The sequence below is a fragment of the Homo sapiens genome, chromosome 8, assembly GCF_000001405.40.
Source record: "Homo sapiens chromosome 8, GRCh38.p14 Primary Assembly".
Classification (NCBI taxonomy): Eukaryota; Metazoa; Chordata; class Mammalia; order Primates; family Hominidae; genus Homo; species Homo sapiens.
This window is the reverse complement of record NC_000008.11, coordinates 13111336-13139138: the sequence shown is the minus strand read 5'-3', so window position 1 is coordinate 13139138 and position 27803 is coordinate 13111336. Positions and strand designations below refer to the sequence as shown.

The 27803-nt window shown below is 42.8% G+C and overlaps 1 protein-coding gene across 23 annotated transcripts in view, besides 6 other annotated features; it reads left to right on the top strand.

Moving 5' to 3' along the window:
• The window catches only part of DLC1 (DLC1 Rho GTPase activating protein), a 521260-nt gene that overhangs the window by 465482 nt on the left and 27975 nt on the right, over positions 1-27803 (top strand). For 11 of the 23 annotated variants that reach the window (NM_001348082.2, NM_001348081.2, NM_001413124.1 and 8 more), the window contains one exon: positions 23482-23553. Coding sequence is in view for 12 of the 23 variants with exons in the window: in NM_001348081.2 (NP_001335010.1) it covers positions 23482-23553 (72 nt within the window). In the remaining 11 variants the exon portion in view is untranslated. Of the gene's footprint in view, positions 1-1877; positions 1956-4349; positions 4441-5849; positions 6196-22894; positions 22994-23481; positions 23554-25676; positions 25812-27803 lie in introns of those variants that run through there. The other 12 variants (NM_001348084.2, NM_001413137.1, NM_001413136.1 and 9 more) reach the window with 6 other exon arrangements.
• Positions 5621-5690: a silencer, noted in NCBI's record as "silent region_18957". NCBI's record gives its function as "represses an Ori minimal core promoter by ATAC-STARR-seq in GM12878 lymphoblastoid cells {active_cell/tissue: GM12878}" and the evidence as "EXISTENCE:reporter gene assay evidence [ECO:0000049][PMID:35858748]".
• Positions 5721-5950: a silencer, noted in NCBI's record as "silent region_18956". NCBI's record gives its function as "represses an Ori minimal core promoter by ATAC-STARR-seq in GM12878 lymphoblastoid cells {active_cell/tissue: GM12878}" and the evidence as "EXISTENCE:reporter gene assay evidence [ECO:0000049][PMID:35858748]".
• Positions 13477-13977: an enhancer, noted in NCBI's record as "H3K4me1 hESC enhancer chr8:12982671-12983171 (GRCh37/hg19 assembly coordinates)". NCBI's record gives its function as "activates a minimal SCP1, AML or CMV promoter by ChIP-STARR-seq in naive H9 embryonic stem cells {active_cell/tissue: H9 hESC(naive)}" and the evidence as "EXISTENCE:reporter gene assay evidence [ECO:0000049][PMID:30033119]".
• Positions 13978-14478: an enhancer, noted in NCBI's record as "H3K4me1 hESC enhancer chr8:12982170-12982670 (GRCh37/hg19 assembly coordinates)". NCBI's record gives its function as "activates a minimal SCP1, AML or CMV promoter by ChIP-STARR-seq in naive H9 embryonic stem cells {active_cell/tissue: H9 hESC(naive)}" and the evidence as "EXISTENCE:reporter gene assay evidence [ECO:0000049][PMID:30033119]".
• Positions 15207-15839: an enhancer, noted in NCBI's record as "H3K27ac-H3K4me1 hESC enhancer chr8:12980809-12981441 (GRCh37/hg19 assembly coordinates)". NCBI's record gives its function as "activates a minimal SCP1, AML or CMV promoter by ChIP-STARR-seq in primed H9 embryonic stem cells {active_cell/tissue: H9 hESC(primed)}" and the evidence as "EXISTENCE:reporter gene assay evidence [ECO:0000049][PMID:30033119]".
• Positions 15840-16472: an enhancer, noted in NCBI's record as "OCT4-NANOG-H3K27ac-H3K4me1 hESC enhancer chr8:12980176-12980808 (GRCh37/hg19 assembly coordinates)". NCBI's record gives its function as "activates a minimal SCP1, AML or CMV promoter by ChIP-STARR-seq in primed H9 embryonic stem cells {active_cell/tissue: H9 hESC(primed)}" and the evidence as "EXISTENCE:reporter gene assay evidence [ECO:0000049][PMID:30033119]".

Here is a 27803-nt window from a genome sequence, read left to right as displayed (position 1 = left end):
TTTTTATTTTTAATGTTGTGTAGAGATGGGGTCTCCTTGTGTTGCCCAGGCTGGTCTCAAACTCGTGGGCTTGTGATTTTCCCACCTTAGCCTCTCAAAATGCTGGGATTACAGGCATGAACTACTGTGCCCAGCTTCTCTCTCTTAAAAATATCACTGGACAACTAAATTAAACTTCCCTATATTTTGAACTTGCATTATTCAAAAGTTGTAATCAATAGAAGGTCTGAGTGAAGAAGAGACACACTCCAGTTAAAATTAAATGGTGGTGAATTAATTTTGCTGCCTAAGCCCCTTATTATTCTCCTCTTTCTTCATCCTACACTCCAGCATTTGGGTTTTGACAAATTCTGAAAAGGCTAAATACCAGGTAGGGTAGAGAGTGGGGGTAGGGGGAGAACCCAGATTGGGGTCACGAAAGCTTAACAATAAATGAATGTTTTAAGGACAGCCATTCAATTTCTAACTTAGTTACTTTCCTTAATTGAATACCATTTAAAATTATTTTCAAAACATTCTATTCTTTGTCGTATGTCCTTTGAACATTACAAATAAAAATTATCCCCCCTGTAATTTTGCAATGCTGCATTGAACACAAATTATAACATTTTCCAAGTGCAGAGGAGTCTGTTATTTCCTCAGGGAGAGAAATCAATTTCCAAAGAGATTGCCTGGCTCATATCACTAGAGCAGAGGTTTAAACTGGTTGCCCTAGGGCTAAGTAAAGCCCAAAGTTAAAATTAAGTGGAATGGATTTCCATTTTTTAAAATTAGTTGCCAGCATCTAAAAATTGAGAGATTTCATATACAAATATAAAATTATAGGGGTTCTGGAAAAAATCTTTCAGCTCTTGTTAAGACAGGTCAACAAGCCACTAAGCCCTAATGATGGCTGTCTTCTCAGAGGGGTCCTGAACCCCCCAGTTCTCAACATCCCACTAGGGTCAACTTTACTCACTATCATTGCCTGCCTAAGTGCCTGTCAGTGCTTTAGTGTTTTTTAACATATTACAGTGGGAAAAATGCAAGTGAGTATCCTTGGACAGTATCAATAATAACTAATATCAATTATTAAAATAGAGTAGGAACCAAAGCCAGTAGTCACTCAGGCTTCTGTCATGCAGTTTAGGAGTTAACTACGTAATCTTTCTTTCCATGCTAATACCACAGTTGAATGGGAAAACATCCAAATACAGTGGCCACGGATACCCCTGTGAACAGTCTCCAAGAAAGTGATGTCTGGCCAGGTGCGGTGGCTCACACCTGTAATCCCAGCACTTTGGGAGGCTGAGGCGGGCAGATCAGCTGAGATCAGGAGTTCGAGACCAGTCTGGCCAATGTGGTGAAACCCCATTGCTTCTAAAAATATAAAAGGTAGCCAGGCGTGGTGGCAGGTGCCTGTAGTCCCAGCTATGTGGGAGGCTGAGGCAGAATTGCTTTAAACCAGAGGCGGAGGTTGTAGGGAGCTGAGAACCCACCACTGCACTCCAGTCTGGGTGACAAGAGTGAAACTCCATCTCAAAAAAAAAAAAAAACAAAACCAAAAACTGATGTCCAAGCTGAAGAAAGAGCAAAAGAGCATGACAGGCAGTGAACAGCACAGGTCTTGTTGCCAAATCATGTTTTAAAAATCTGCCATGGAGAACAAATAAGTAACAACACCCCCATATAACAAAATGATAGGTTTTCATTTTGATGTATTGAAACATTTTCAGAGGACCCTAAGCTGTTGGCACTGAAACAGGCTACATTGAACAGGTAATTCCTGCCTCTTAGTTTAGCATCTCAAACCAAAATCTCACTGAATGCAGCTCAGCTAAAAAATCCCTTCTAACATTATCTAACGTTATCTAACATTAACTTCTAACGTATGACAGAGACAGATGAAACCTTGAGTGATGAGTTGAAGGTTAAATGAAGAGGAAGGACACTGAGGGGCCTGGGGACCCTAAGAGGTAAAGCGCCACTGTTTGTTGACACTCTTCATGATTTTTTCACTTTCCTTCCCCCGCTTGTAAAGGTTCCTCAGATTCACAAAGGGTAATGCCAAGGTCTTATTTTGTTTTAATCATCTCTTGGATGATGATTTAAATAGGATTTCATGTTTTAGTTCTAATAATGGTGGCTAACATTAATAAATGGTTATTATGTGTTAAGCACTTATGTACATTATTTTATTCAAGCCTCGTAAAACCCTCATGAGGTATGCACTATAACAACCTTCTTTTTTAAAGATGAAACTGAAGTTTTGAGAAGCTAAATAACATATTCAACTACACAGCCATGAAAAAAGAGAATGAAATAGACCAGGTGTGGTGGCTCACACCTGTAATCCCAACACTTTGGGAGGCCAAGACTGGCGGACTACTTGAGCCCAGGAGTTCAAGAGCAGCCTGAGCAACATGGCAAAACCCTGTCTCTACAAAAAATACAAAAATTAGCCAGATGTGGTGGCACGCACCTGTAGTGCCAGCTACTTGGGAGGCTAAGGTGAGAGGATCGCTTGAGCCTGGGATCCTCTTGTCCTCAGTGGGATGCACAGACATTCGGCTGCAGTGATCTGAGATTTCACCACTGTGCTGCAGCCTCGGCAACAGGGCGAGATGATCTCAAAAACAAGAATGAAATGATGTCCTTTGCAGCAACATGAATGCAGCTGGAGGCCATTATGTTAACCATATTAACACAGGAACCGGAAACCAAATACTCCATGTTCTCACTTATAAGTGGGAGCTAAACACTGAGTACTCATGGACATAAAGATGGCAACAAGACACACTGGGAACTACTAGAGTGGGGAGAGAGGGAGGAAGGGGAGAAGGAGTTGAAAAACTGTTAGGTACTATGATTAGTACCTGGGTGACTGAACCAATCGTACCCCAAACCTCAGCATCATGCAATGTATCTGCACATGTACCCCCTGAATCTAAAATAAAAGTTTAAATTATAACATAAACAAATAACATATTAATCATAAACCTAGTAAGTGGCCTGCTCTAAAAGTCCTGCTTTCAACCACCATTCTCTTAAGCGTAGCAGCTTTCAAAATGTAGCATGTCCATTTCTAAGAAGAGTGGAATTAAAGCTATACAAATTGGGGCTTGGCCCTTGTCACAGGCTGTGTCAATAGACCAAAGACTGAAAGAAGATGAGATTCAGGGAAGGTCAAACGCAAACCAATGCATCACCAAAAGAAAGGATTTTGGAGTTATTATTAGTATTATTATACAATGAGCAAACTACATAACATAATCTCCAGAGACATGTAATGAAATTAGAAAAGATCCAGGGACAGTGGCATCCATAATCAAGGAGAGAGGAATGGGGCTTGAATAAGAAGAGAAGTTTTGCCTGTTTTACTCTGGAAAGATGAATGCTAAGTGGAATAAAAAGACTCCTGGGAACCTAATTAAATTAGAATACAACTTTAACCAGCAAACAAAAAATATTAAGAACTTATTCTGAGAATTGGTGTATTTGGAGGGGAGATATTTAGAATATATTTTTAAAGTCTGAATTTTTAATAAATAAGATAAATTAGTATGTTTCGAAGGTGCACTCTTATTTTTTAAGTTTGAATATTACACTGCAGCCTGAGCGATCTTTTCAAAATGCAAATCCAATCACGGGATGCGTTCTTCCATTAAAATGGCTTCTCGACCGGGCGCGGTGGCTCACGCCTGTTATCCCAGCACTTTGGGAGGCTGAGGTAGGCGGATCACGAGGTCAGGAGATCGAGACCATCTTGGCTAACACAGTGAAACCCTGTCTCTACTAAAAATACAAAAAAATTAGCTGGGTGTGGTGGCGGGCACCTGTAGTCCCAGCTACTCGGGAGGCTGAGGCAGGAGAATGGCGTGAACCCGAGATCGTGTCACTGCACTCCAGCCTGGGCGACACAGCGAGACTTTGTCTCAAAAAAAAAAAAAAAAAAGGCTTCTCACTGTTTATCACTCCTAAGGACTTTCCTTAACATAGTCACGCAGGGGACTGAAACTTCTTGCTTTTACTTTCCTGGCCTCCCGTTGAATCACACTCCCCCTTGCTGGTGACGGTGGGCTCTTGGGCAGCTCCTCCGGCTCCCACACTCATGAGGGCAACTGCATCATCTTGGGCCAGATCAGATCTCCATTTCCTGGGCCCTCACAGCACCGCTTTTTCATACAACCCTGTTGCTTCCTCCCACCAGGCTGTAGCCTTTGCACCCTCAGCAGTTACCAGTAGGTAAAAAGCCTGGAAACATCTGTTGAACGGAGGAGTCCCATACCCTTTAGAGCTGAATTCTGCTTTGGGTAAATTAGGGAGCCAGTAGTGGAAGTTAGCTTATTTATTTATTTATTTTTGTACAGATGGAGTCTTGCTATATTGCCAACCCTGGTCTCAAGCTCCCGGGATCAAGCAATCCTCCCACCTCGGTTCCCAAAAGCGCTAGGATTACAGGTGTGAGCCACTGCATTCACCCAGCATTTTTGTTTTATCAAAATTTATGAGGGAAATGGGAGAAGAGTCTTCTGTATGTAAACTAAGATATCGCTATGAAACCAATAAGTTTTAAACTATAATTAAGAGACTAAATTCTCCTATTTGTATTTGCCCCATTTAAAAACAAATTGTGCCCTTCCCCAGCTCCAATATTACCTCCCTGCTTTATGTATCTCCATCAGACATACTCTATATATCTCATTTATTTTGTTTGTTATGCATTTTTCCCACGAGAAAGTAACCTCCAGGAGGGAAGGGATATTTGTCTCTTTTGCTCACTTCTGTATCTCCCAGTCTACAGCTGTGTTTGGCACATAGTAAATGCTCTTTCTGTATTTGTTGAATGAATGAGTTTAGTTCAGTAGTCTTCCTTGCCCAGAGATAGCAGGCAAAAACATCAATTAACCCCGAAGTAAATTTTCATGGAATCCAGTTCTGGATTTTTTAAAGGCTCTTAATGCAACTATATTTAGCTGTGATCCCTTCACATTAGGCTTCCTAATACATCAGGGGTCCTCAAACTACAGGCCATCAGAATCATCTGAGAGCTTGTAAAAGTTGCAGATTCTCATCATCAAAGATTGGAATTATGCAGTCAGACCCCAGCTAAGGGCAGTTCCAGGAGCTGCATTCGGACTGTGGCCCAAGGGCCAGTTTGAGAAACACGGGCTGTGACCCCCAGCACGTGCCGAGTGAAAGCTCAATTCCTCTAAGGCAGTATTTATCACCTACATTGGCTCCGTACCCATGCGGGTTTTAGCAATAAATAACCAATGTCCAAGGGACAGGTACCCTTCGCTCGTTTTTACAGATCTGGAAACACTGACCATCCCTTCCTCTCCGCTTCCCCTCCGTTCCCGCAAATTTACGTGGTTCCCGCCAGGATAAAAGACAGGTAAAAAGTACGCAGAGCTACCAAGAAAAAGAAGGGACGCTCAAGGCACACTAGGGTCCAGGCCGGACACCTCCGCCAAGTAAATGCCTTGTGACCTTTGCCTTTGCACCCGGGGCCAATAGTTGGCGACTTTTCGGCGCTTCCCGCTGGGAACGTGGAGGCCCGTGGGGGAAACATTCCAGCCTTCGGCGGAGGAGGCGCGGGGCGGGGCGGGGGGGAGGAGGGAACCGAGGGGGCGGGACAGAGGAGAGGCGGGGCCTGGGCGGGGCGGGGCTAGAGGGCGGCCTGAGGCTGCGGCCACGAGGAAGAGGGGCGGGGGGCGGAGCCTGGGAATGGGGCGGGGCCGGAGAACAGCCCGTCGCTAAGGCCTGCGACCCAGACAGCGGGGAGGAGGCGGTGCCGCCCGCTCTGGCCCCGCCCCTCGGGGGGTGGGCCCAGCGGGAGGGCCCGGCTGGCGGAGCGCGCGGGAGACAGTTCGCTCCGACTGCCCGAGCGAGGGCGCTTCGCTCCCAGCCAGGACATGGCCGCACCTCTCCGCATCAGGAGCGCCGGCTCACGGACTTCTCGCCCAACTCCCTGAGCGCTCCCTCGTTTCGATCTTTAGAAAACCCCGCTTTCTTTCTGGGGCCGTGACGAGGGGCAGGGAGCGGCGAGCAAGGATGCGTTGAGGACCGCGAGGGCGCGCGTCTCGGGTGCCGCCGTGGGTCCCGACGCGGAAGCCGAGCCGCCTCCGCCTGCCTCGACTTCCCCACAGCGCTTCCGCCGCCGCCTGCCGTGCTTGATGTGCAGAAAGAAGCCGGACACCATGATCCTAACACGTAAGCTAGACTTGCGTCTTGCCGTCGGGCTGGCCGCGGGAGCGGGCTGCGGAGGGGACCCGCCGCGAGAAAGTGTCACCCCGCCTTGTCAAGTCGGTGCCTGTTCTGTGCTCTTTAAACGCTTTCTGCAGAGTCTCCGGATTTTCTTGGAGGTGGTGTGGGGATAGCAGGACTCGCAGTTTGGGGAGGGAGTTTGAATTTTGGAGGAGTGACTCTTGATTACCTTTTGCCTGGGGACCGCGGGCCAGCGCACCAGGCGGGCTCCGGATCGGTCGCAACCCGTGAAGGGAAGCCCTGGTTCACTTTCCTCCTTGAGCCGGGCGGGGGCTCGCGGCTCTGGCTCGAGGGGCGCGGCGACACCGCCTTCTACCTTCCTTTCCTCTGGGGACTGCTCTGCGCTCGTACTGATCTCCTGTCATTCACCAGCTTAGTCCAAAATCAAAGTGAACTCCGGGAGAGTTTACTGTTTGGGAACATTTTAGACCCTAGTGGCGCTTGGAAATTTTTTTTTTTCATCACTGCCTGAAAGTTCACCAAAAACTTGTTTTCCTTTTCAACCATTTTTGGGTAAGATACTTTAAGCGCTGGGAATTAACTCAGACCTGGCCAGGGAAGTCTCGGTTTGGTGGCCGCAGGTACCTGGAGAGTGTTGGGGTAGTTTAGCAAGCCCCGTGGCTTGCAAACGTGCTTCTTGCTAGGAAACACACACACACACACACACACACACACACACACACAGTTTTGGTTTTTTTCCCGGAGATGGGTCGCTGAATCGTGTCCCTGAAATGCCCCCTTGGGGATGCCCACCCCCTTGACCCGGACAAGGAGGCCGAGGAGCGAGTTCCTGGGCCGGAGAGAGGAAGGAAGCTCGCCTCCCGACCCGACTATTTTCGTAACAAGGCGACAGCTTCTTGGAAGCCTGCCCCCACTCCATGTCGCTGTCCCCACCTCCAGAGTCCTGGGGCGAGCCTTTGATCCCTCCGAAGGAGGTGCACCCCTCCTCTCTGCAGCACCCTGCTGCGTGTAGTTTGCTGCGTCCGCGAGCGTCCTTCAGCGCACAGCCCCTGGGGCGAGGAAAGTGAGAGGGGACACGGGGTCAGGCTGGTGGGGTCTCATCCTGGTCAGCAGCCTGCTAGCTGGGCGAACTTGGGCAGTGACAGGACCTCGCTGTGCCTCCTTCATCTGCACCAAAGGGGTGATAACTGTATTACCTCCGCGCGGGGAGGTTGTGAGGATCAAATGAGCTCATGCAAGTAAAGTGATTAGCAGGTTGCCTGTTCCCGATGTTCAATAAATACCCAGTGTGTGCTAATCACCGCAGAAGGAAACCCCTGCTTGCAGTCATTAATCTGCACTTAAAGAAAGCTTCGTCCCACTCCCCACCTTTTCCCATCCCCAGTCTTGTTTTGAGTGAGTCTTTTTACACCCAATATGGATGAGCAAATGGATTCATTCTCAGGATTCAGAGGTTGTTTCGGCGATTACTGGTGACATAGAGGAATGCAGCCTAGGCTGGTGGCATTGATGATGTATTTGGAAAAAACATTGCAGCTCGGGAGAAGGCAGAATACTGAGTCTCAGATTACATTTTTTTTTTCCTCCAAAATTCTGTTTGCTGAAGGGATGAGGGAAAATAATAGTCCAGCAGACTGCAGCCCTCTGAATGTAAATCTATCAGCAGCTCCAAGAGGTTGACTAATTCGCCATCCATCTGGACTACAGACTGGTCCTCGGTGGAAATAATTTGCAGACTGTAAGTGTGGAATTAATGGAGTTGCCATCTTGGCTTGCAGACGGCAGCAGATGGTCAGAGGGGTGCCCTGTAAGGCAGCAGCCCCTCTAATCGAAGAACTAAAGTCCTGGGGAACCAGTGTCAAATGGTTAGCAGATGTGTGCACAAAAGTTATTTTGAGACATTTTCTGAGAAAATGTTGGCGATTGCATGTATTCACATTTCTTGTGGCATGCCAGATTTACAGCGTGGCCTGAGCGCAGATGCATACTTTTTGCATTAGTACTACTGTTCAGAGTTTAAAATGAAGCACAGCAGACTGAGTTTCTCTCCTGGCTGTTTTGAAAAGTTTGCTTTTGACAAATACTTATTTTATTTTAATTTACACAGAGTAGCACCAGACACCAAACAGCCTGGAAGTTCAAAAAGGGGACTGGGGATAAATAGTTTCCAACTTAAATCTTTCCCTGGAGTGGGTGAGAAAAGTGGTTTTGGTGACTTATGTCATAACTTCCCAATTGCAGATTTCATGAGAAACACCACTCATTCCTTAAACAGTGAATAGATGAGCAATTAACTATTGCTAACTATGAAGGCAGTGTTTCAAATTTTAATGCACTGGAAAGATTGAAGGATTTTCTTAGGGCTCTGGAGTAAAGGTGAAAGGCAGGTTACCCTTCAACCTAAAGCCCTTGTTTGCATGTTTTTTTGTTGTTCTGTACTGTAGTTGAGAGAGCAAAGACTAAGCAAAGTTTAGAGCATTTCTACATTAAAAGAGGTGTTTGGGTGCTTCTGGAAAATATACCAGACCAGTAGAAAGACATGTTGTGATTCAACAAGCTATTACTGTGAAGTGAGTTTAAAAATGTATATAGTACTTAAACTCTTATTTGTAGAACTATTATGGGACTTAAAGGGGATATGGGAGGCCACAGTTGAGATGCCTTCCAATCAGAGGCTTGGTGAGATTCCAAGAGGTGGTTTCAAATACAGCAATAAGTACTTGGGTTTCCCTTGGTGTCCCCATGGAGATTTTAAGCCATGACGCAATGTTTAAATCAGAGTGGTATTTTTATGACTTAAGCGGGTAAATATGCAATTGGAAAATATTCAGGGAAGGGTGATTTGGTCCAGAAGAGTGGGGGCATCCAGAGTACAGTGGGTGAAATGGATCGGACTTTTTGGAAGAGAGCCTTGTGCTGGACAGGATGGTCCAGTATTGTCAACACAAGTTTCTCATGCTTCACTCTCCTTCCTAGCAACAGGAAGACGGAAATGAGGCCATGCAAAAATAAAAGACCCTGAAAGACTCCAGACAATACCTGATCCACCCTACCATTCACCCTGTATAGCCAGAAGACTTTTACAAAAGTAAAAATAACTTCAGATGTTTCCCCTTCCTCCCTGGCTATTGCCAAATCATTAAAGACCGAATTCTCAGTGCTTTACAACATCATAGCAAAACCTGGCCCCATGGTGTGACTCGCATCCAGACCCACATCATGCCAAGCCTGTTCTTGAGATTATAAAGCAGACCTGGGGAGAAAGGTGATTTTCATTTGTAATGTGTGCACAGTCCAATGATTTGAATTACATGAGTTGGGATCTAGTGGGAGAGAACTAATTTCTTTAGTGTCTAGACAGTTGTATCTCTGACTTTTCTCAGAATGCTCATTTTATCAGGATCTGCTCCTGAAATTCTTAGTTTGGAGCTGTGGGGCTCTAATGCAAAGGAGTAATCTGTACGTCATTCAAGACACTAAAAAATACGTTCCTTCATGTTGCAGTCTGGGTGAACTAATGCCCAACCATAGAGTGTAAATATCCAGTGTGTCCTAGAAAGCACAATTCCAAGATCCTCTTTTCCATGGCTATGAAATTAGAAGGAACATGCTTTTCTGGAGCACTTTCACAACTGTCTCTATTTCTGACTCTGTGGCCTTTGCATATGGATGAATGCAGAGGGAGGTGAAGGCTGTTCCTCTTTGAAGGAAGACAGTGCTGTAGGGTTGAAGTATGTTTTATAGGAATGAGTTACTGCGTTGAATGAGCGCCATCAGCGGTGTTTTCTTTCAGCTTCAAATTAGTTAGAGATCCAGTTAATGTAAAAGGGTTTAGATTCCCAGCTGAGAAGGGCTCCTTCTGTCCTCTGGCCCTTTTCCTTCTGTGGGACCTTGTGTTATTAGGGATTACCATGATCAGTGATAAGAACTGCGGAGTCCTCCTGGGGATCCTCTAATTAGGTCTACTCTGTCTTAACGTTTTGTTCACTTGCCATCATAATTAATGTTCTGCCTTGCCATCATAATTAATGGAGAACAGGAAGAAAGCCTTCACATTAAGCTTATATATTTTCTTTTTTCTCTTTTTTTTTTTTGAGACGGAGTCTCTCTCTGTCGCCCAGGCTGGAGTGCAGTGGCGCAATCTTGGCTCACTGCAAGCTCCGCCTCCCGGGTTCACGCCATTCTCCTGCCCCAGCCTCCCGAGTAGCTGGGACTACAGTAGGCGCCGCCACAATGCCCAGCTAATTTTTTGGTATTTTTAGTAGAAACAGGGTTTCATCGTGTTAGCCAGGATGGTCTGGATCTCCTGACCTCGTGATCCGCCCGCCTCGGCCTCCCAAAGTGCTGGGATTACAGGCGTGAGCCACCGCGTCCAGCAAGCCCATATGTTTTCTTAGTGTCTCCCAGGCAGCAACGAGACTTCTCTATTGTGGCCCTTACGGAGCCTTATAGTTACTTTGTAATTTCCTGGGAGGCTTGTGTGCGTAGGTAGGCAGCTGTAATGTTAGAGTGCAGGAATGACAAATTTTTTGTGAGTCCCCTCCATGGGGGGAGTCTAGTGAGAGGAGACTTGGGGCTCTGTCTTTAACATTTGGGGGAGTGTTCTGGGATACCATTTTCTAAAACTCTGGCCCGCGTTGACTGTACGAAATAATGTTTTCTTCAGTGAAAGTACTTTCAAATATTATTTCTAAAGGAAACTTTTCTCCCAAATGTGACTGAAAATATGTGAATGCCTGCCTATAAGGAAATAAAGTTTTGAGCACCAAAAAGTGAACTATTACATCCTTCTAAAGTGAAGCCAAGACACAGTGGAAATCAGTTTCTCTTAATCATTCATCAGCCTTGGGGTTTTTTGGTTGTTGTTTTTTTGGGGTTTTTTTTTTTGTTCTACTAGACTTACTTTCCTCGTGAAAAGTGTGCTTATTTTCATTTTATACATTTCTCTACTTGGTGCCTTTTGGTGTCTACCCCTTCCCCCGTCGGGGAAAAATCAAAAGCTCATTGAAGGCTGAGGTCAGTGAAGCTGAGTCCTCAGATGCCTTTGGCACCTCCCATCCACATTTTGTTCTCTGCCCTGCCCCACCTTTGAGTGTCCTGTGGAGAGGACTGGAGGTCACTTCCTGAAGCTTGTCAGAAAGGCGCCTTCCTTCTCCTCGCAGGAGTCTCTAAAGGATGTTTAAGGGACAAAAGTTTTCCACACCCTGGGGTGGTAGCATTTCCCAGGCTGGCAGCACTTTAGGAAGCCACGGAAGAAGAGACTTCAGAAGTGAAATGGCCTGTGGCCCATGCACGGTGCTGCCCCACAGCCACGCTGTGTCCCTCCTCACACTCAAGTGACAAAATAGAAGATGCTGAAACTGAAGTGATTTTTACCTCCTGATTCTGGAGAAACCATAAACTCATAAGGGATCCAATCTCCATACAGTTCTCTTTTTCAAATTGTATAGCACAGAAAGGGCATTTTATGTAATGCTTGGACATCTGTAAAAGTCATTTTCATGGGAAGTTCCAGAACTTGGCAAAGGCAGCCTGGAAAACCAGTGCCTTTTCCCGACTGAGGGGCGGCTGAGATGCAGAGAGGTTCAGTGACCAGTCCAAGATCACATGTGAGTTGACTGGAACCTCAGACCCCTTCCAGTCAACATGTCTAAACAAAATGAAGGTCTTAAGTTGTTTGTAGGAACCTGAATCACAATTTGACCATTAGATTAATTTCTGTTCATTCATTAGTGTTCATTTAGGGGGCTGGGTGTCCCAAGCAATACTGGTGAAAATAATTCCTTAGCTCACCTAGAACACAGCAAATCTTACTTTTTTCTCACACTTTTTGGCACAAAACTGAGAACGTCTAGTTGAATAGTGTTTCCTCTTTGAGGTTTGACATAGAAATGGCTGGAGGTGGCTTATACTCCTAACAAGTACCTGCCATATTTTCATTGTCATTGGTCTTTGATAAGGGAACTTGATATTTCATTCATTTTCTTTTTTCTGTTAGAATGGACGAAAATATGGGTGAGCAGTTTTTTTAATAGACGTTCCTGCTATCACCTTTATTTCTAATTTAAGGTTTTACAGTGTTGCAATTTGCACACTATTTTATTTTCTCCTGTGCTATCGCAGAACTATAAAGCAAAAGCCAATGTTGCGGGAGATGCCCCTCGTAGAATAAGCTTTGCTAACATATGTAAAAGAAAGAGTTTATTTGTATGCCAACTTTTAATAATAGAGACAGGGTTACTCTAGGTTTGTAACCAGATATTTTGCCTTGAATAATAAGTTTAAAGAGGGAATGGATTATATAATCTTAAAACACGTGCTTCATTTTACCAAAAAAAAATGAGACTCAGAAAAATAAGGACCTTTAAAACTGTATTAATTAGATACTTTTCTTTCTTGAAATTCTTAATCTATGCAGTTATCATCTTCAAAGGACTTCGTACTTTATGAGCTATTCCAAATTACTGTTGTTAGTGCATAGTTTGAACTGCATAAATATTTGACGTGGAATACTAGAAATACGTACACGTGTGTGTGTGTGTGTGTGTGTGTGTGTGTGTATGGATAGAGAGATATGTGTGTCCCTGTAGCAGCGATTTATTTTTATCCTGCCCCAGGTTGAAATGAAACAGAAAGATGTGATGATTCAGTATCCATTTCCTTCTTAGTTTATTTTGATTTCAGTTTGACCTCTTTTTGCTGGGTAATAAGTGCCAATTTTTGATTATTTGGGAGATATTTTCTGTTCCTGGAAATAACTGGATCCGCACAAGCCTAGAGGGCCTGATGGAGCCATGTCCCTCATGGGCTCAAATTCATCCAGAGCTGTTGCCTTTGCCAGGGAAGAGCACATATTTTGATGTGAGCTGCTTGCCTTTTCCTGGTTTATGTGTTAAAAGGAGTACTTTGCAAACTCTTGTACTAGATGATCCCCAAAGAGGATTTCAATTGGTTTAAATTCTACATGGCTAAAGTGTCACTTGCAGGGCTTCACCCCAGGTATAGGCTTGCAGGGCCTGTCTCCCAGTGTTTCCTCCTTTCAAGGCAAAACCATTTATTAAGTTGTCATCACATCACAGGGAAAATGGGTCCTTTTTCCCCTCCTTTCTATAATTTCTAGGAATGTTCTTTAATAGAAAGCTGTATATGTATGTCTCCAAATCTCAAGCAGAAGAATAAGAGAAAAAAAAATGAACAAAACTTAAAAAGGAAGCTCCCCAAAGCTTCCATTCCTTACTAGGACTGAAAACCAGTATGGTGATTTACAAGTGAGGGCACTGTTGAAATAGGCAAGAAGGGCCTAACCTGGGGATGAGAGCTGGGTAGCTTTAGCCCCTTCAGCAAATCACCTCAATTCTGTACCAGCTTCCTCATTTGTAAAGAGAAAAGATGAAAAGCTTCAAGAGGTATTTCAGCGCCCAAGTCACGGATTCTTTGGAAGACAACATGCTGCTGTAAACATGAAAGATCAATAAGGAAAGTAAAACTCTTAAGAGCCTTCTATGCATTGAAGTGTTTTCTTCCTCTCAAGTTGAAATTTAGAGGGCTATAGACACGCACAGAAGCAAACGTCATTGGTTTTGTGTTGTCTATGATATGAATACAGGCTTCATGGGACAAATCAAGAAGTCGATCTCTTAAAAAGCAAATTAGGCCAGGTTTGGTGGCTCATGCCTGTAATCCCAGCACTTTGGGAGGCCAAGGCGGATGGCTCACTTGAGGTCAGGAGTTTGAGACCAGCCTGGCCAACATGGCGAAACCCCGTCTCTACTAAAAATACGAAAATTACCCGGGTGTGGTCGTGAGCACCTGTAATCCCAGCTACTTGGAAGGGTGAGGAAGGAGAATGGCTTGAACCCAGGAGGCAGAGGTTGCTGTGAGTTGAGATTGTGCTACTGCACTCCAGCGTGGGTGACACAGTGAGACTCTGTCTCAAAAAAAAAAAGGAAAAAAGAAAGGCAAATTGGAAATGTTAGCTTTTAAAATAAAAGTAATTAAAACTTTCGTAAATTTACAAAACTGGGGATCTCTTGTAGCAGTTTCTAGTGGTCCAGTTTTTTGAGGGAAGAAGAATGTTTCCATGTAATTGATAAGACATCTGGAAAATTAACAGCGGGCATGGAACCCTTTCTAGAGGTGGTCTTAGAGAGAAGGTGAAATGGGCATAAAGGAAATATTAGAGTCAAAAACTTAGGGAATTTACAAAGCCACTGGCAAGCGCAGGTTTTATAGATGAAGCAACAGGGCCAGAGAAATTCTTTTCTTAAGGCCACCTATCTAGGCAGTGGATTCTTTCCTGGAGTTGTTTTCCTGACTTGTTACAGTAATGCTTTGTCCTCTGTGATAGAGTATCAGAAGGACTCCAGGGCACCCAGGTGCAAAGCTGTTTTACATCTGAGGAAATAATGTTGGTTGCTCATTGTATAACCAGGCTCAGAAGGTGCTTCCATCTGATCCATGAGATAACTTCCTTTCTGCTTCATACTCCTGCTTTTTGGTCTGTATTGTAGTAAATCCAGACTGCATTCCTCCCAACACTTCTGCTTCCCAGCTTACCTCTTACTTCATTCAGGGTCCTTTACACCGAATCCCCTCTCCTGCAATCCAGTTTCATATCCAAGATCATAATGCTTCCTTAAATAAAGGAGTACAGACTGGGCCCAGGCAGACCCCACTTGTCCACTAGCGAGAAGGGACACCCCTCCCACTCTGATGTCACACATGTCTTTCCTATGTCATATCACATTCCTCTTCCTACTGTACACAAGTTCTTCATGCTTAGAAGAAAAACTATGCATGAGAATAGTGCATTTCAAATTGGTCACATTGGTATATAACACAGCATTTAAAAATATATAAAAATATAAGACTGTATCACTTATTGTAGGTTTTATTTGAAACTTCTTTTATAATAGTTACATATACAGACACGTGTTTATATGCATGAATGTGTACTTATATTTATACACACATATATACATGTACATACATGTATATGTGTGTACCATGTTACAATGTAGAATGTATTTCCTATTGGGGATCCTGGTCAGAAAAATTAAGACCACTTACTAGAACAAAAATTGTATGAGTGGTTTATTTCTTTATGTAATATTTATTGAGCAACTACTGTGTGCTGTTGTAGGTGCTTGGGATATATCACAGAATAAAATGGACAAAGAAGCTTGCCCTTTTGGAGCTTACAAAGAGGAAAGACAGAAAGTAAACATAATAAGTTTTGTGGAAGAAGAAAAAATAAAACAGGAAAAGAGGGAGAGAGGGCCCAGGTGCCACGGCCCACGCCAGTCATCCCACACTTTGGGAGGGAGGCCGAGGCAGGCAGATCACTTGAGGTCAGGAATTCGAAACCAGCCTGACCACCACGGTGAAACCATGTGTTTACTTAAAAAAAAAAAAAAAAAAATTAGCTCATTGTGGTGGCGGGCGCCTGTAGCCCCAGCTACTCAGGAGGCTGAGGCAGGAGAATCGCTTGAACCTGGGAGACAGAGGTTGCAGTGAGCCAAGATTGTGCCACTGCATTCCGGCCTGGGAGACAGAGTTGAGACTCCTTGTCAACAACCAAAAAGGTGCGGGGGCGGGGGGTGCAGGGAGCAGGGGGACAGGGCATGAGAGGAGGCCGGTGTGGCTGGATCAGTCAGAGGCAGGCAGGGTCCTGACAGGGGCCAGGACATGTGGGACATTGTTAGGAGTTTGGCTTTCACCAATGAAAGGGGCACTCACTAACGTGACGTGTACAGGGTCACTTCGGGCTTAACAAACACGTGGACCTTGCAATAGCCCTTAGGAAACCAGTTCGTTTCTAAGTGGAGGATAGAGGGTCCTCATACGCGCTGTACTCCACTGTGAATTTCCTTTCCACTTGGCTTCCTGCTTCAAGTCAGGAGCTTGTGTCTTTGATTTTCCCTGAGAGCTGCTGGCAGTACGCCTAGTTGGATCAATAAATAGTGAAAGGGAAAATGTAGGATGATTAGCTTTAGCTAAACATAGGACTGTACTAAAATATACCTAACAGTAGATTTGAGTTAGCTATTGTTAAGCCAGATAGCCTAAGAAACTGACTTAGTGACTGACCAGTCTCCCAGAAGCTTCTTGTTTTTTTTTTTTTTTTCAGACTATGCATAGCAGATGTTTGGAATTTTTTTAGGCACCTGAGGGCAGGAATGCTGTCAGTTGCTGGTGAAAATCTTTACTGTGATTAGATAACATTAGAGTTTAATAAATATTAATATATGAAGTCTGCTGTCTGTCTTAACCTTACTAGGAATTTATTTTACATAGATAACTCCTGATAACCAGTCTTTGGCAACTGCGTATGTTTAACAGTTGGTTGTTTTTTAATTGCAAAGAGTAAGAGATTCAAGTCATCGTTTTCAGTCTGCCTTTAAAGAAAGGAAAATAGTAATAGATTTTTTTTTTTCTTTTCCTTCTTCACACCAACCTCTCTGTAATTCCTTTGTGCAAAAAGTTGTCTTTCGGGATATACAAATGAATTAAAAAGTGAGAAGTTGGTGGAGTGAAGAAGGGGTAATTCATTTGAGAGAACTCAGGGCTTAAGGTATGAGAGCTTGGTACGTCCTCAGAACTCCAAGGAGTTTGGAAAGCCTGGAGCAAGCTTACATTTGGAGGCCTTCCAAGAGTTGAGTGGATAGGCAGATGCCAAACTGTGAAGGCTGTGGTCTTTGCTGAGGAGTTTGGATTGTATTTGAAAGGCGGTGGAAAGTCACTAAAGAATTCTAAGCAGGGGAGTGACATAATGAAATATGTGTTTCATAAAACCAGCCCAGTGGCTCGGGGATCCTTGAAGGAGGACGGATTTGTTGGGGGCAGGGAGGGGTGAGGCTTATCAGAGTTCCGTGAGGAGGCTGTTAGGATAATCCAAGGGTGAAAAAGTCCAGGACGAAGGAATACAAAGAAATGTTATCTGGCTTAGTGGTCCTCAATCCTGGCTGCCTTTAAACTGAGGGAGCTTTTCTGAAATACAATGTCCAGGCCCTACCTAGACTGAGTGAATCAGAATACCTGGGGAGGGGATGGTCGGTGTTTTTAAAAAGCTCCCTGGCCAGGCACGGGTGGTTCACGCCTGTAATCCCAGCACTTTGGGAGGCCGAGGCAGGAGGATTGCCTGAGCCCAGGAGTTTGAGATCAGCCTGGGCAACATAGCGAGACTCTGTCTCTATAAAAAATAGTATAAAAACTTAGCCAGGCATGGTGGTACACACCTGTAGTCCCAGCTACTCAGGAGGCTGAGGCAGGAGGGTTTCTTGAGCCCAAGAGTTCAAGGCTACAGAGAGCTGTGATCATGCCACTAGACTCCAGCCTAGGTGACAGAGTAAAACCCTGTCTCAAAAAAGAAAAGAAAAGAAAACTCCCCAGCGCAATGCCTGCCTACATCCAGGGCTGGGAGTCACCAAGATTTCCTTACCTTACTACAAGTATTTGTGGTCGTGATTTGCTTCTCCCAGTGAACGCCCTCTGGAACCCACCCATCAGGTAAAGATGGGTTGTAATTAAAACCATCGTATCCACCTGCACAACATTCCTGCCAAATTGGTCACCTTGATGTCATCAGAATTGATAAGCAGTATCTTCCTTCCCATTTGAAGGAATCTTTGTCACCACGGGGAGGAGAATGCATCTTGGTTTGGATCAAAAAGCACCACCTGCCTGCACACAGCTGACACGGTTCTCTAGCAATAAAAGCATCAACTTTTCCATGAATCTTTGCCCATATGTCTATCAAATTTTAGGGAATCCAGGGAATCTGCAAAGTGCTTGAATTTTCTTACATTCCTTTAATTTCTTAAAATTGCATTTTTAAAAAAAATTCACTGTACCATTTGCATCGAAGCCTGATTTTGGTGGCATATTATCACAGAAGAGAGGAAATCCAAAAGTTCCCCCTGTGAAGCTAGAGCGAATGGTAGATTGAAGTAATCATATCTTGTTTAGACCCAATTACTGTTGCTCAACCAGCTAAGATAACAGAGTTCCACAGAATGATGCTGGGGGTGGGGAGTTTTTGTTCAGCTTACTGTTGAGGAGTGATGGGAAGACAGGATCATCCCGTCATGCCAGGAAATGTGCAAATATGGCCTAATGGTTCCCAGCCATACACAAAAGGGTGTCCGGGACTCATCCATCTAATGTCCAGAACTGCTTTGTGAAATGACTTTGACTAAAGCTGTTTCCAATAAAAATTTCCTGTTTCCTCCTTACGGCATTTGTCTGTTGTTTGCTTAGAGAAAACCCAGGTATAAAAGTTTCATTGTATTTCCATTGTATTTTTAGTTTCTAGTGGCATTTTTGTTCAGTGGGGAATGTTTTTTAAAAAAATCATCCTCGTAATTTTCACATCACCACCCACATACATTGAAGGGAAAATCACACATTCAGAGCTGTGTTAGAGGCCCCCCAAAACAAGCATGGGGTAGATAAACGTGTCCAAAGTAATATAATATATATGCGGTTTTCAGTAATATTTTAGATTTTGTTCATTGTTACATAATATATTATATGTATTTGTTACATAATATACATTTTATATATATATATATTTTTTTTTTTTTTTGCGACGGAGTCTCTTTCTGTCATCCAGGTTGGAGTGCAGTGACCCAATCTCAGCTCACTGCCACCTCCGCCTCCCCGGTTCACGCCATTCTCCTGCCTCAGCCTCCTGCGTAGCTGGGACTACAGGCACCCGCCACCACGCCTGGCTAATTTTTGTATTTTTAGTAGGGACGGGGTTTCACCGTGTTGGCCAGGCTGGTCTCGAACTCCTGAGCTCAGATGATCTGCCTTCCTTGGCCTCCTAAAGTGCTGGTATTACAGGCGTGAGCCACCATGCCCAAGCTGTTACATACAGTATTTTTAAAGGGAAGAACCTGTCTTGCAGGAAGAACCTTGCATTTTTGTAAGTAATTGTTCCTTCTCTCACTATGGCATTTGAATGTAGAAATCTCATTTTTAAAAATTTTTTTATAAGTTTTTTTTTTTTTTAGATAGAGTCTCACTGTATTGCCCAGGCTGGTCTTGAAGTCCTGGGCCCAAGCAATCCTCCCACCTCAGCCTCCTGAGTAGCTGCGAATACAGGCAGAAAGCTCTTTTTTCTTTTTATATTTTTTGTAGAGATGAAGTCTCGCAATTATTGCCCAGAGTGGTCTTGAACTCCTGGCCTCAAATGATACTCCCACCTAGGCCTCCCAGAATGCTGGGGTTACAGGTGTGAGCCACCTCGCTTGGCCTCAGAAAGCTCATTTTTAAGGAGAGGTGGTTACTTCTCTATCTGTTTCCTCATGTGTTTATCTCAGAGATATTAGTAATCCACATTTTAGGATCAATGTGAGGTGTAAATGAACTAATATGCACTAGCGCTTAGACAGGGCCTTATGCGTATTAAGCACTCAGTAAAGTGACCCATTGATATAGAACTGTTGAGAGGTAAATGGGAAGACTGCATGGAGGAGGTGGCATTTAGTTGGGATCTTGAAGGATGAGTGAAATTTCATCTTCAGCATTTCAGGCCAGATAATTCACTGAAGTGCAGTGTGTGTGGAGATGAGCACCAAATTTACTTTGGCTAGAGTGCTTGGGTACAGGGAGCTGAACAATTAGGTTGGATGCCAAGTGGAGAGCCTTGAAAACCTTGCCAGGGTGTTTAGACCTATTTTTTTTTTTTTTTTTTTTTAGACAGGGTCTTGCCCTGTTGCTCACGTTGGAATGCAGTAGTGTGGTCACAGCTCACTGCAGCCTCCACCTCTGGCTCAAGTAGGTCCTTCCACTTCAGCCCCTCAAGTAGCTGAGACAACAGGCATGTGCCACCATGCCTGGCTAATTTTTGTATTTTATGTAGAGATGGGGTCTCCCTATGTTCTTCAGGCTTGTCTTGAACTCCTGGGCTCAAACAGTCCACCCAACTCTCCCTCCCAAAGTGCTGAGACTACAAACGTGAGTCACCGCACAGAGCTAAGACCTCATTCTTTACACGTGGAGCTCCAGCGAAGTTTGTGAAGGAGAGAGAAGATTAATACTGTAACTCAGAAAGTTTGATGAGCCAGGATTGATGGACAGATTCTCTTAAGAGAGGGTTGTTTACAGACCCAGAGTTTTATTAATACTTAGATTAGAGAGAAAGTAATGGTGTGAATCGGGGAATGAAACTGTGTGACTCGCATGTAGATATAGGTTCATTTCACATTAAAAAAATAAAAATAATTGATTTTTAAAAATCAGTACGTACATTGGATTGTTAGTACTTTCTCTTGACCTATGAATTGGAAAGTGTAGGCGTGAGGTCAACAAGTATTCCATTTTCTAAAAAATATGTGACAACTTTTTACAGTTTTCCAATTCTGATTTCTACAAAGCAGTGGGTTAGGGTCTCATTTGAATGCAGCCTAAGTTTTCAGAGTGGACTCTTTGTGTTGGTAAAATAGTCATATGCTTGTCTATTTCCCATGGTTTCATATCAAAAGGAAAGACAAATTGTCATTTTTTTTTAGGGTGAAGAAGAGAAAGGATAAGATGACTAGATCTCTGCTGTTTGGGGAGTACTGTGTTTTAGCCATTGTATAAACTGTTAATTAAATTATCTGCTGAAGAAGCAAACCTTTGCCTGTTTACATTCTTTCTAACTAAGTGGCCCTAAGAGTGACTATTTTGACACAGCTTTTCTGATCAGTTTATGATCATTTGGAGTCATTTTATTTGTTAGACAGGGCCATTAGAAAATAAGAGAGACAGCCAGGCACAGTGGCTCCTGCCTCTATCTCAGCTACTTGGGAGGCGGAGGTGGGAGGATCATTTGAGCCCGGAAGGTCGATGCTGCAGTGAGCTAGGATCATAACACTGCCCTTTAGCCTAGGTGACTGAGCAAGACTCTGTCTCAAAAAAAAAAAAAAAAAAAAAAAGAAAGAGAACAAGAAGACAGGAATATGCATTTTTGTGTTGCTGAAATCACATGGGACCTTAAATAAATACTTTGTAAAGTTATTATATAAAAAATATAAAGATTGCTTAAAAAACTAGTATCTTACATCTTCCATGCCTCTTGGCATGAAACTATTTCTCTTAGTAAAGCAGGAGCATGCTCTGGCAGGATTGGCTAGTGAATTGGTATCTAATTAAGGCTTTTGTATGTGGGCTCACCTACTGCCGTGTCTGACTATCGTCAAAAAAGGGCGGGCACTGAGAATTTTTGGTTACTCACCACTTATTAAGTTAAATATTAAGAAAGCAAGCACATTTACTTTTTAACAATCTATTGTTCAATGTCTAACAGTCTGTTCAATGAAAATAACCTCTAAGTAGCCAAATGAAATGAGTTTTTAAAATATTTTTAAAGACAAACAGCCTTTTTTCTTTCCATATCTATGTTTTGTGGGAGGGGGCAGGCACACAGATAGGGCAAAAGTAAGTTCCTCTTTTTTTTTTAGCGGTTACAGAGTCTTACTCTGTTGCCCAGGCTGGTGTGTGGTAGTACCATTGAGGTTAACTGCAGCCTCAGCCTTCCAAGCTGAAGCAATCCTCCCACCTCAGCCTCCAGAGTAGCTGGGACTACAGGAGCACACCACCACACCTGACTAATTTTTGTAATTTTTTTCTTTGGTAGAGACAGGGTTTCGCCATGTTGCCCAGGCTGGTCTTCAACTTCTGGGCTCAAATGATCCTCCCACCTCAGCCTTTCAAATGCAGGGATTATAGGCGCAAGCCACCACACCCAGTCTAATTTCCTTGTTTTTTAAAATAAAATATTGAGCTTGTATATGTTTTTCCAGCAATATAGTTTTCTAGGAAGTGTCTATTTTATAATTTTATTTAAAACATCTTTATTTCCTTGCTGAGACAAAATGTGGATATACACATACGAAAAAAAAGTAAGCTCAAATAATTGACTTTGGACAATTCTACACTTTTATTCAGTGTAAACATCGAAGTTCTTCCACACTGATGTCACTATCATTCGCTCCCATTTCGGTCCTAAGTCTTGGGTTGAATAATGCTACTTTCACTGCTGCACTGAAAAGATTCATGAAGTTAACTTTGCCATGCTATTTATTTCCAGGCTACTGCCATAATCGTTTTTAGTTTGGGTATTAAGAACTCATCAGGAGATGGCAGGTTATTTTTTTTCTCTTTCCTGTGTTCATTGATCAAATTCCCACTTGCTTTAATGAATTTGGATTTGCTTAATTACCTTTCTTCAAAGGCCAAGGAACTCAGGAAATAATAGGTGAAAAAGTGCTTTGAAAACATAAAGTTACTAGACAAAAATAAGATGTGTTACACTTCTGATATGAACTATTAGTCTCCCACTTGCTTGAGAGAGATGCTTAATGAAGATTTGAATCTGGCATAAATTATGCAATGTTGAGACCTTTATAAATGAGTGAACAGACTTGTGTAACTGAGTACTCTCATGGCCTGAGGAAGGTGGGAGGAAGAGTTGAAAGGAATATTCTTTGTGCAAGCAGAGACACTAACTAATGTTCCCAGGACCTCCTCTGTGAGTCAGTTTTAACGGGATTGTAAATATGTGCTCCAGTGAGTTTTAACACAGTGTGTCAGTTGCTCTTGGCCTTTCTGTTTATCGATTCTATCTACAAGATGTGAAACCACAGGGAGGTAGAAGCTTTATTAGCCATTTCTGCCTGCCAAGATTGTGGGATTTACTGACTTCGTGCCCTCCATGTTCCTTGACAGCCTGGGCCTCTCCTACTGGATTAATACCTGATGAGTACCTGATCACGCAACAGTGAAACAACACAAGGTCAGGGGCTTTTGAAACACCCAACCCCTGGGTGTCAGAAAGCCTGTGACTTTACTCAGATAAATTCTATTTTAGCGTGGTGGTGGAGGTACTTTGTGGCCTTTTGTTGAAGTGAAAAGTAGTACAATAGGCCGGCCAGGCTTCAAATGAGTTATTAAATCTCTCTTCAACTTTCTCATGATGCCTTATTTTCATAACCGTTTGTAATCAGAGCACTTCAGAAGCAGCACAAAATGAGAAACTTACTCTCAGGACCCCATTTCTATTTTTTGTAAAGGGAAAATACATCCTCATGTACACGTGAAAAAACTGGAAACGATGCATACAAAATGTAAACCATTCGAATTAAGCGTGTATGTCTGTTTGCTTATCTGTATTTTCTATGGCAGTCATGTTTTGCTTGTATCATAAAACGAAAGCTTATTCAGGAAAAATAAGCATGGCGAGGTACACATGGCTAATTTTGTCTTTCTTCTGTTCTGTTCTAGAAATTGAAGCCAAGGAAGCTTGTGATTGGCTACGGGCAACTGGTTTCCCCCAGTATGCACAGCTTTATGAAGGTAAGCTGGGAATGCCACTTTTTAAAAGTTGGCATAATCATAATCCCTTGTTCGCGAGTATTACTGATCTATGACTTATTTTCAGCAGTTTTATCGTTTAAATGTTTTATTTTTAAAAAAAATGTTGTAAGCATGCAAGACCCCCACCGCTGAAAACAAAAGCTAGCACCTTGGTAACACGCCCATGCCACTCCCCCATCTGCTGCCTGCCACTCCCTACCCAAAGTAATCAGCATGCTGAAGACTATCATTTTCTTGCTTTCTTTTTGTATAATTCTACTCCATTTCCTGAAAAGTACATTTTTACAAAGTAATTTTTACGTTTATAAAAAGGGTAGTGTGTCGTATGTAATTTCATGGGGTTTTTATTTTTCACTTAATATTGTATTGTTAAGATTCTTCTATACTGTATGGGCCTGTTATGCATTTGCTTTGGCTGCTGTGTAATACACCATTGTGTATTACACAAGAAACCACTGTTTATTCATATCCACACTCTGGTTGGTGGGTATTTTGGCTTTCTCTGTTTTGCTTTTATAAGCTGTGCTGTTGTGAACATTCTTGCATCTATCTTTTGTGGTACATGCATAATGATTCATCTTGCTTCTATCCCTAGGAACAGAATTACTGGGTAATAAAGAATATGTATGTTCAATTTTAAAATGCAAGCTTTTCGAAAGTGCCCGTACCAATTTTCACTCTTACCAATCTGTGTATCCACATTCCCTCAACGCTTGATATTGTCAGACTTTAATTTTTGCCAACCAAATGGATATAAAATGATATAGAGATTTTGACTGCCATTTCCCTAATCCTTCATGGTAATGAGCATTTATTCATGTCACTCGGCCACATTTGTTTGCTCACATTATGCTTCTCTTAATGATTTATAAGGGCTCTTTTTATTCTAAATACTAATCTTTCATTGGTCACGTGTTGCAGATATCTTTCCCACCATTTGTAATTAGGCATTTCACTTTTCTCTAGGTTGTCTTTTAATGAATATTATGTTTTCTGTGGCATTCAGTTTTTCAATTGAGAAAAATGGTTCAAAAAAAAAAATAGGATCTGTGCTGAATTCTTAACATCTCATTTTCTTATCAGTGCCCTGGGGATTGCTTGGATACTGAGGTCATTCTCTCAGCTTCTGCGTACCCTGGGGAGTGCTTGTGCTCCCTGCATGTCAAGATAAATAGGCTGTTCATTTATTTATTTATTTGTTTTGAGACGGAGTCTCGCTCTGTCGCCCTGGCTGGAGTTCAGTGGTGTGATTTTGGCTCACTGCAACCTCTGCCTCCCGGGTTCAAGCGATTCACCTGCCTCAGCCTCCTGAGTAGCTGGGATTATGGGCATGTGCCACCATGCCCGGCCAATTTTTGTGTTTTTAGTAGAGCCGGGGTTTTACCATGTTGGCCAAGCTGGTCGTGAACTCCCGACCTCAGGTGATCCACCCACCTTGGCCTCCCAAAGTGCTGGGATTACAGACATGAGCAACCACGCCTGGCCTAGGCAGTTCATTTAAATGGGAGTTTCATTATACTCTATATGAAGTCAATTTAAAATAATTACAGCTATGAACTAATGCATTCCATTTTATGGGTAACTTTCAAACAGAGGTTGGGTGAATAGCAAAGTGATTCCCAAGTTAGAATACCCGGTCTTCCTTATGTAGCCTAGACTGATTGTGATATTTTTTCCAAGAAGATGGATTCTGAATTGTTTTATTGTTAGACCGTGTAAAATATCTTACTGTTTCTTCATTCCAGAGAATATCTCCAATTTCTTTTGATTAACTTGCATGCTTATTTTGGTGGAGTTACTTGTCTTTCCTTTAGAGAGAAGTTTTAACCTGTTAACATTTAGAAGGGCTTTGGGGAAAGGGGGACCAGCATTCTATTGGATTTTCAATTCATAGCTCTACTGGAGATAAGGAAAGACAACTGCATTGGCAGTAACACCAAAGTGGCTGTCCTTTTGTTCTCCTATTTAGAAACTAAGTTTTCTTCAATTATGCTCGTTTTTGGCATTGATTTGCTGCCAGGTAGCACTTTCTTGTGATATATATGTTTGCTAAGACCCAATTCCATTCCCTGTGTCTCCTCTTTCCTAATCCTAAAATGCAGGGTGCATTTGCACAAGTTACATTTGGGGTCCCTTCATGTTCCCAAGTCTTTTGAAGCATAAGACTACTTTTGGGGTACACTGCGTATTGTTCTGGGCCATTGCCTCCCCCCGTTTTTCCTGCCACTGTGTGCTGGGTGAGTACATACACTATACACCCCATACCAACCCACACATGTCCCCCTGTTAAGCTTGATTTGCGTACTTGGCAATTTATACTTCCTGCCTTTCAACCCACAGTGGAAGTTGAGTTCAGAGAACATCTTCTATACATCAGTAAACTATCATCTTTTAAAAGCCAGTCCTTTCAGAAAGGAGTCCAGGCAAATAAAAGAAAATTACTGATTTAATTCTTACACTCCTCACTTGCATTTAATACCTACCAGATTTTTTAAAAATTGTTAATTTGGATTAGAAAAGGAATCTAAAATATGGCTCTGGGTATACTAACTTAGAATTCCTAAAATAACATAGTTACTTTCTCACATATAGGTAATAGGCATATGAAAATTTCAATTTACATTTATAGATCTGATATTATACTCTGTAAATATTAAAAAATATTCCTTAATATCAGCTCTGTTATTTCATCTTGGTGTGTATTCAGAGTCAAATATTGGCCAGGAATGGTGGCTCATGCCTGTAATCCCAGGACTTTGGGAGGCTGAGGTGGGAGGATGACTTGAGGCCAGGAGTTCAAGGCCAACCTGGCCAACGTAGTGAGATCGCATCTCTATTTAAAAAATTTGAAAACAAACAAAAAAAAGCAAAATACAGTGTCACAACCTTCAAACAATGTTACAACCTGTCTTCCCTCATTTACTAGTGCTCCAGTTTCCATTGACTATAAGTCTTTCTATTTCCATTATAATGGTTCCATGAATCATTTGTCTAAGAGAGACTTGGTCTATAAATTAGTGAAGAAATGTCATTCTGTGATACTAAATTTTATGTATTCATAAATCTCTGGACTATAGCCACTTCCTTGGTCTGCTTATATTATCATTTAGGGAACAATGTCAGTAATCCAACTGTAGCCTTCAGAAAAAAAAGGATAGACTATAACTTTATACTCATTCTGATATATTATCTCTAGAAAATAGATTACTAAGAATAAGAAATTCCATATCATTCCATAAAACCAGTAATCATAAGAAACAATAAAAACATAATGAACAGTTGTGCACCCGCAGGAGCTGGAGCAGGACTAATTACCTGCGTCTCCAAAACTGCTGACAGCCATGTCTGTTCCACTGTGTGGCATTAGCCATTTTGAAGGCCAAAGGGATTTTTTTACTTTTTATTTATTTTTTTCAGATAGGGTCTCACTCTGTCATCCAGGCTGAAGTGCAATGGTATAATCAGAGTTCACTGCAGCCTCAAACTCTGGGGCTCAGGTGATCTTCCACCTCAGCATCCCATGTAGCTGAGACCACAGCCCGCATGCCACCATGCCCAGTAAAATTTTTTTAGATTTTTTTTGTAGAGACAAGGTCTCGCCATGCTGCTCAGGCTGGTCTCAAACTCCTGAGCTCAAATGATCTTCTGTCCTTGGGGCCTCCCAAACTGCTGGGATTACAGATGTGAGCCACAGTGCCCAGCCAAAGAGAATTTTTTAGCTTGTGGTGATTCTAGTTTCCTGCTGTGATGACTGATTTCACCCAGGTCTGGTCCAAAGGGTTACCCTACACCGAGACACTCCTCTTCCTGGTATTGTAGTAGCACTCTACTGAGGAGGCCCATGATTTGCCCTCATAGTTGGGACTCCAAGAGGGTGATAACTTGCCTTTATCCAGTGGCAATTTCAGAGCTGTTGTAAATTTCCACAGCGGCTACCTCCGCTCTCCTTTTCTTGGGTATATTTACTTACCAAGGGATCTTTTTATGTAGTCCAGAGAAAGGAATTCCTCCATTGAGTCGACTGTTTTCCCCCTCTCTGGTTTTCAGTTCTGATACAGCTTCTTCATTGTCTCGAGAGAACTGAATGAACTCTTCTACAGATTAAAGGATTTGAGATTCTGTTGTTCTATAGCAACTTCATAGCTAGCCCTTTCTTTTTAGGGGAGTTATATCAATTCCTGCAAGGCCATATTGCAGTGCTAATATTTGTTTTTAAAAAGCATATCTTG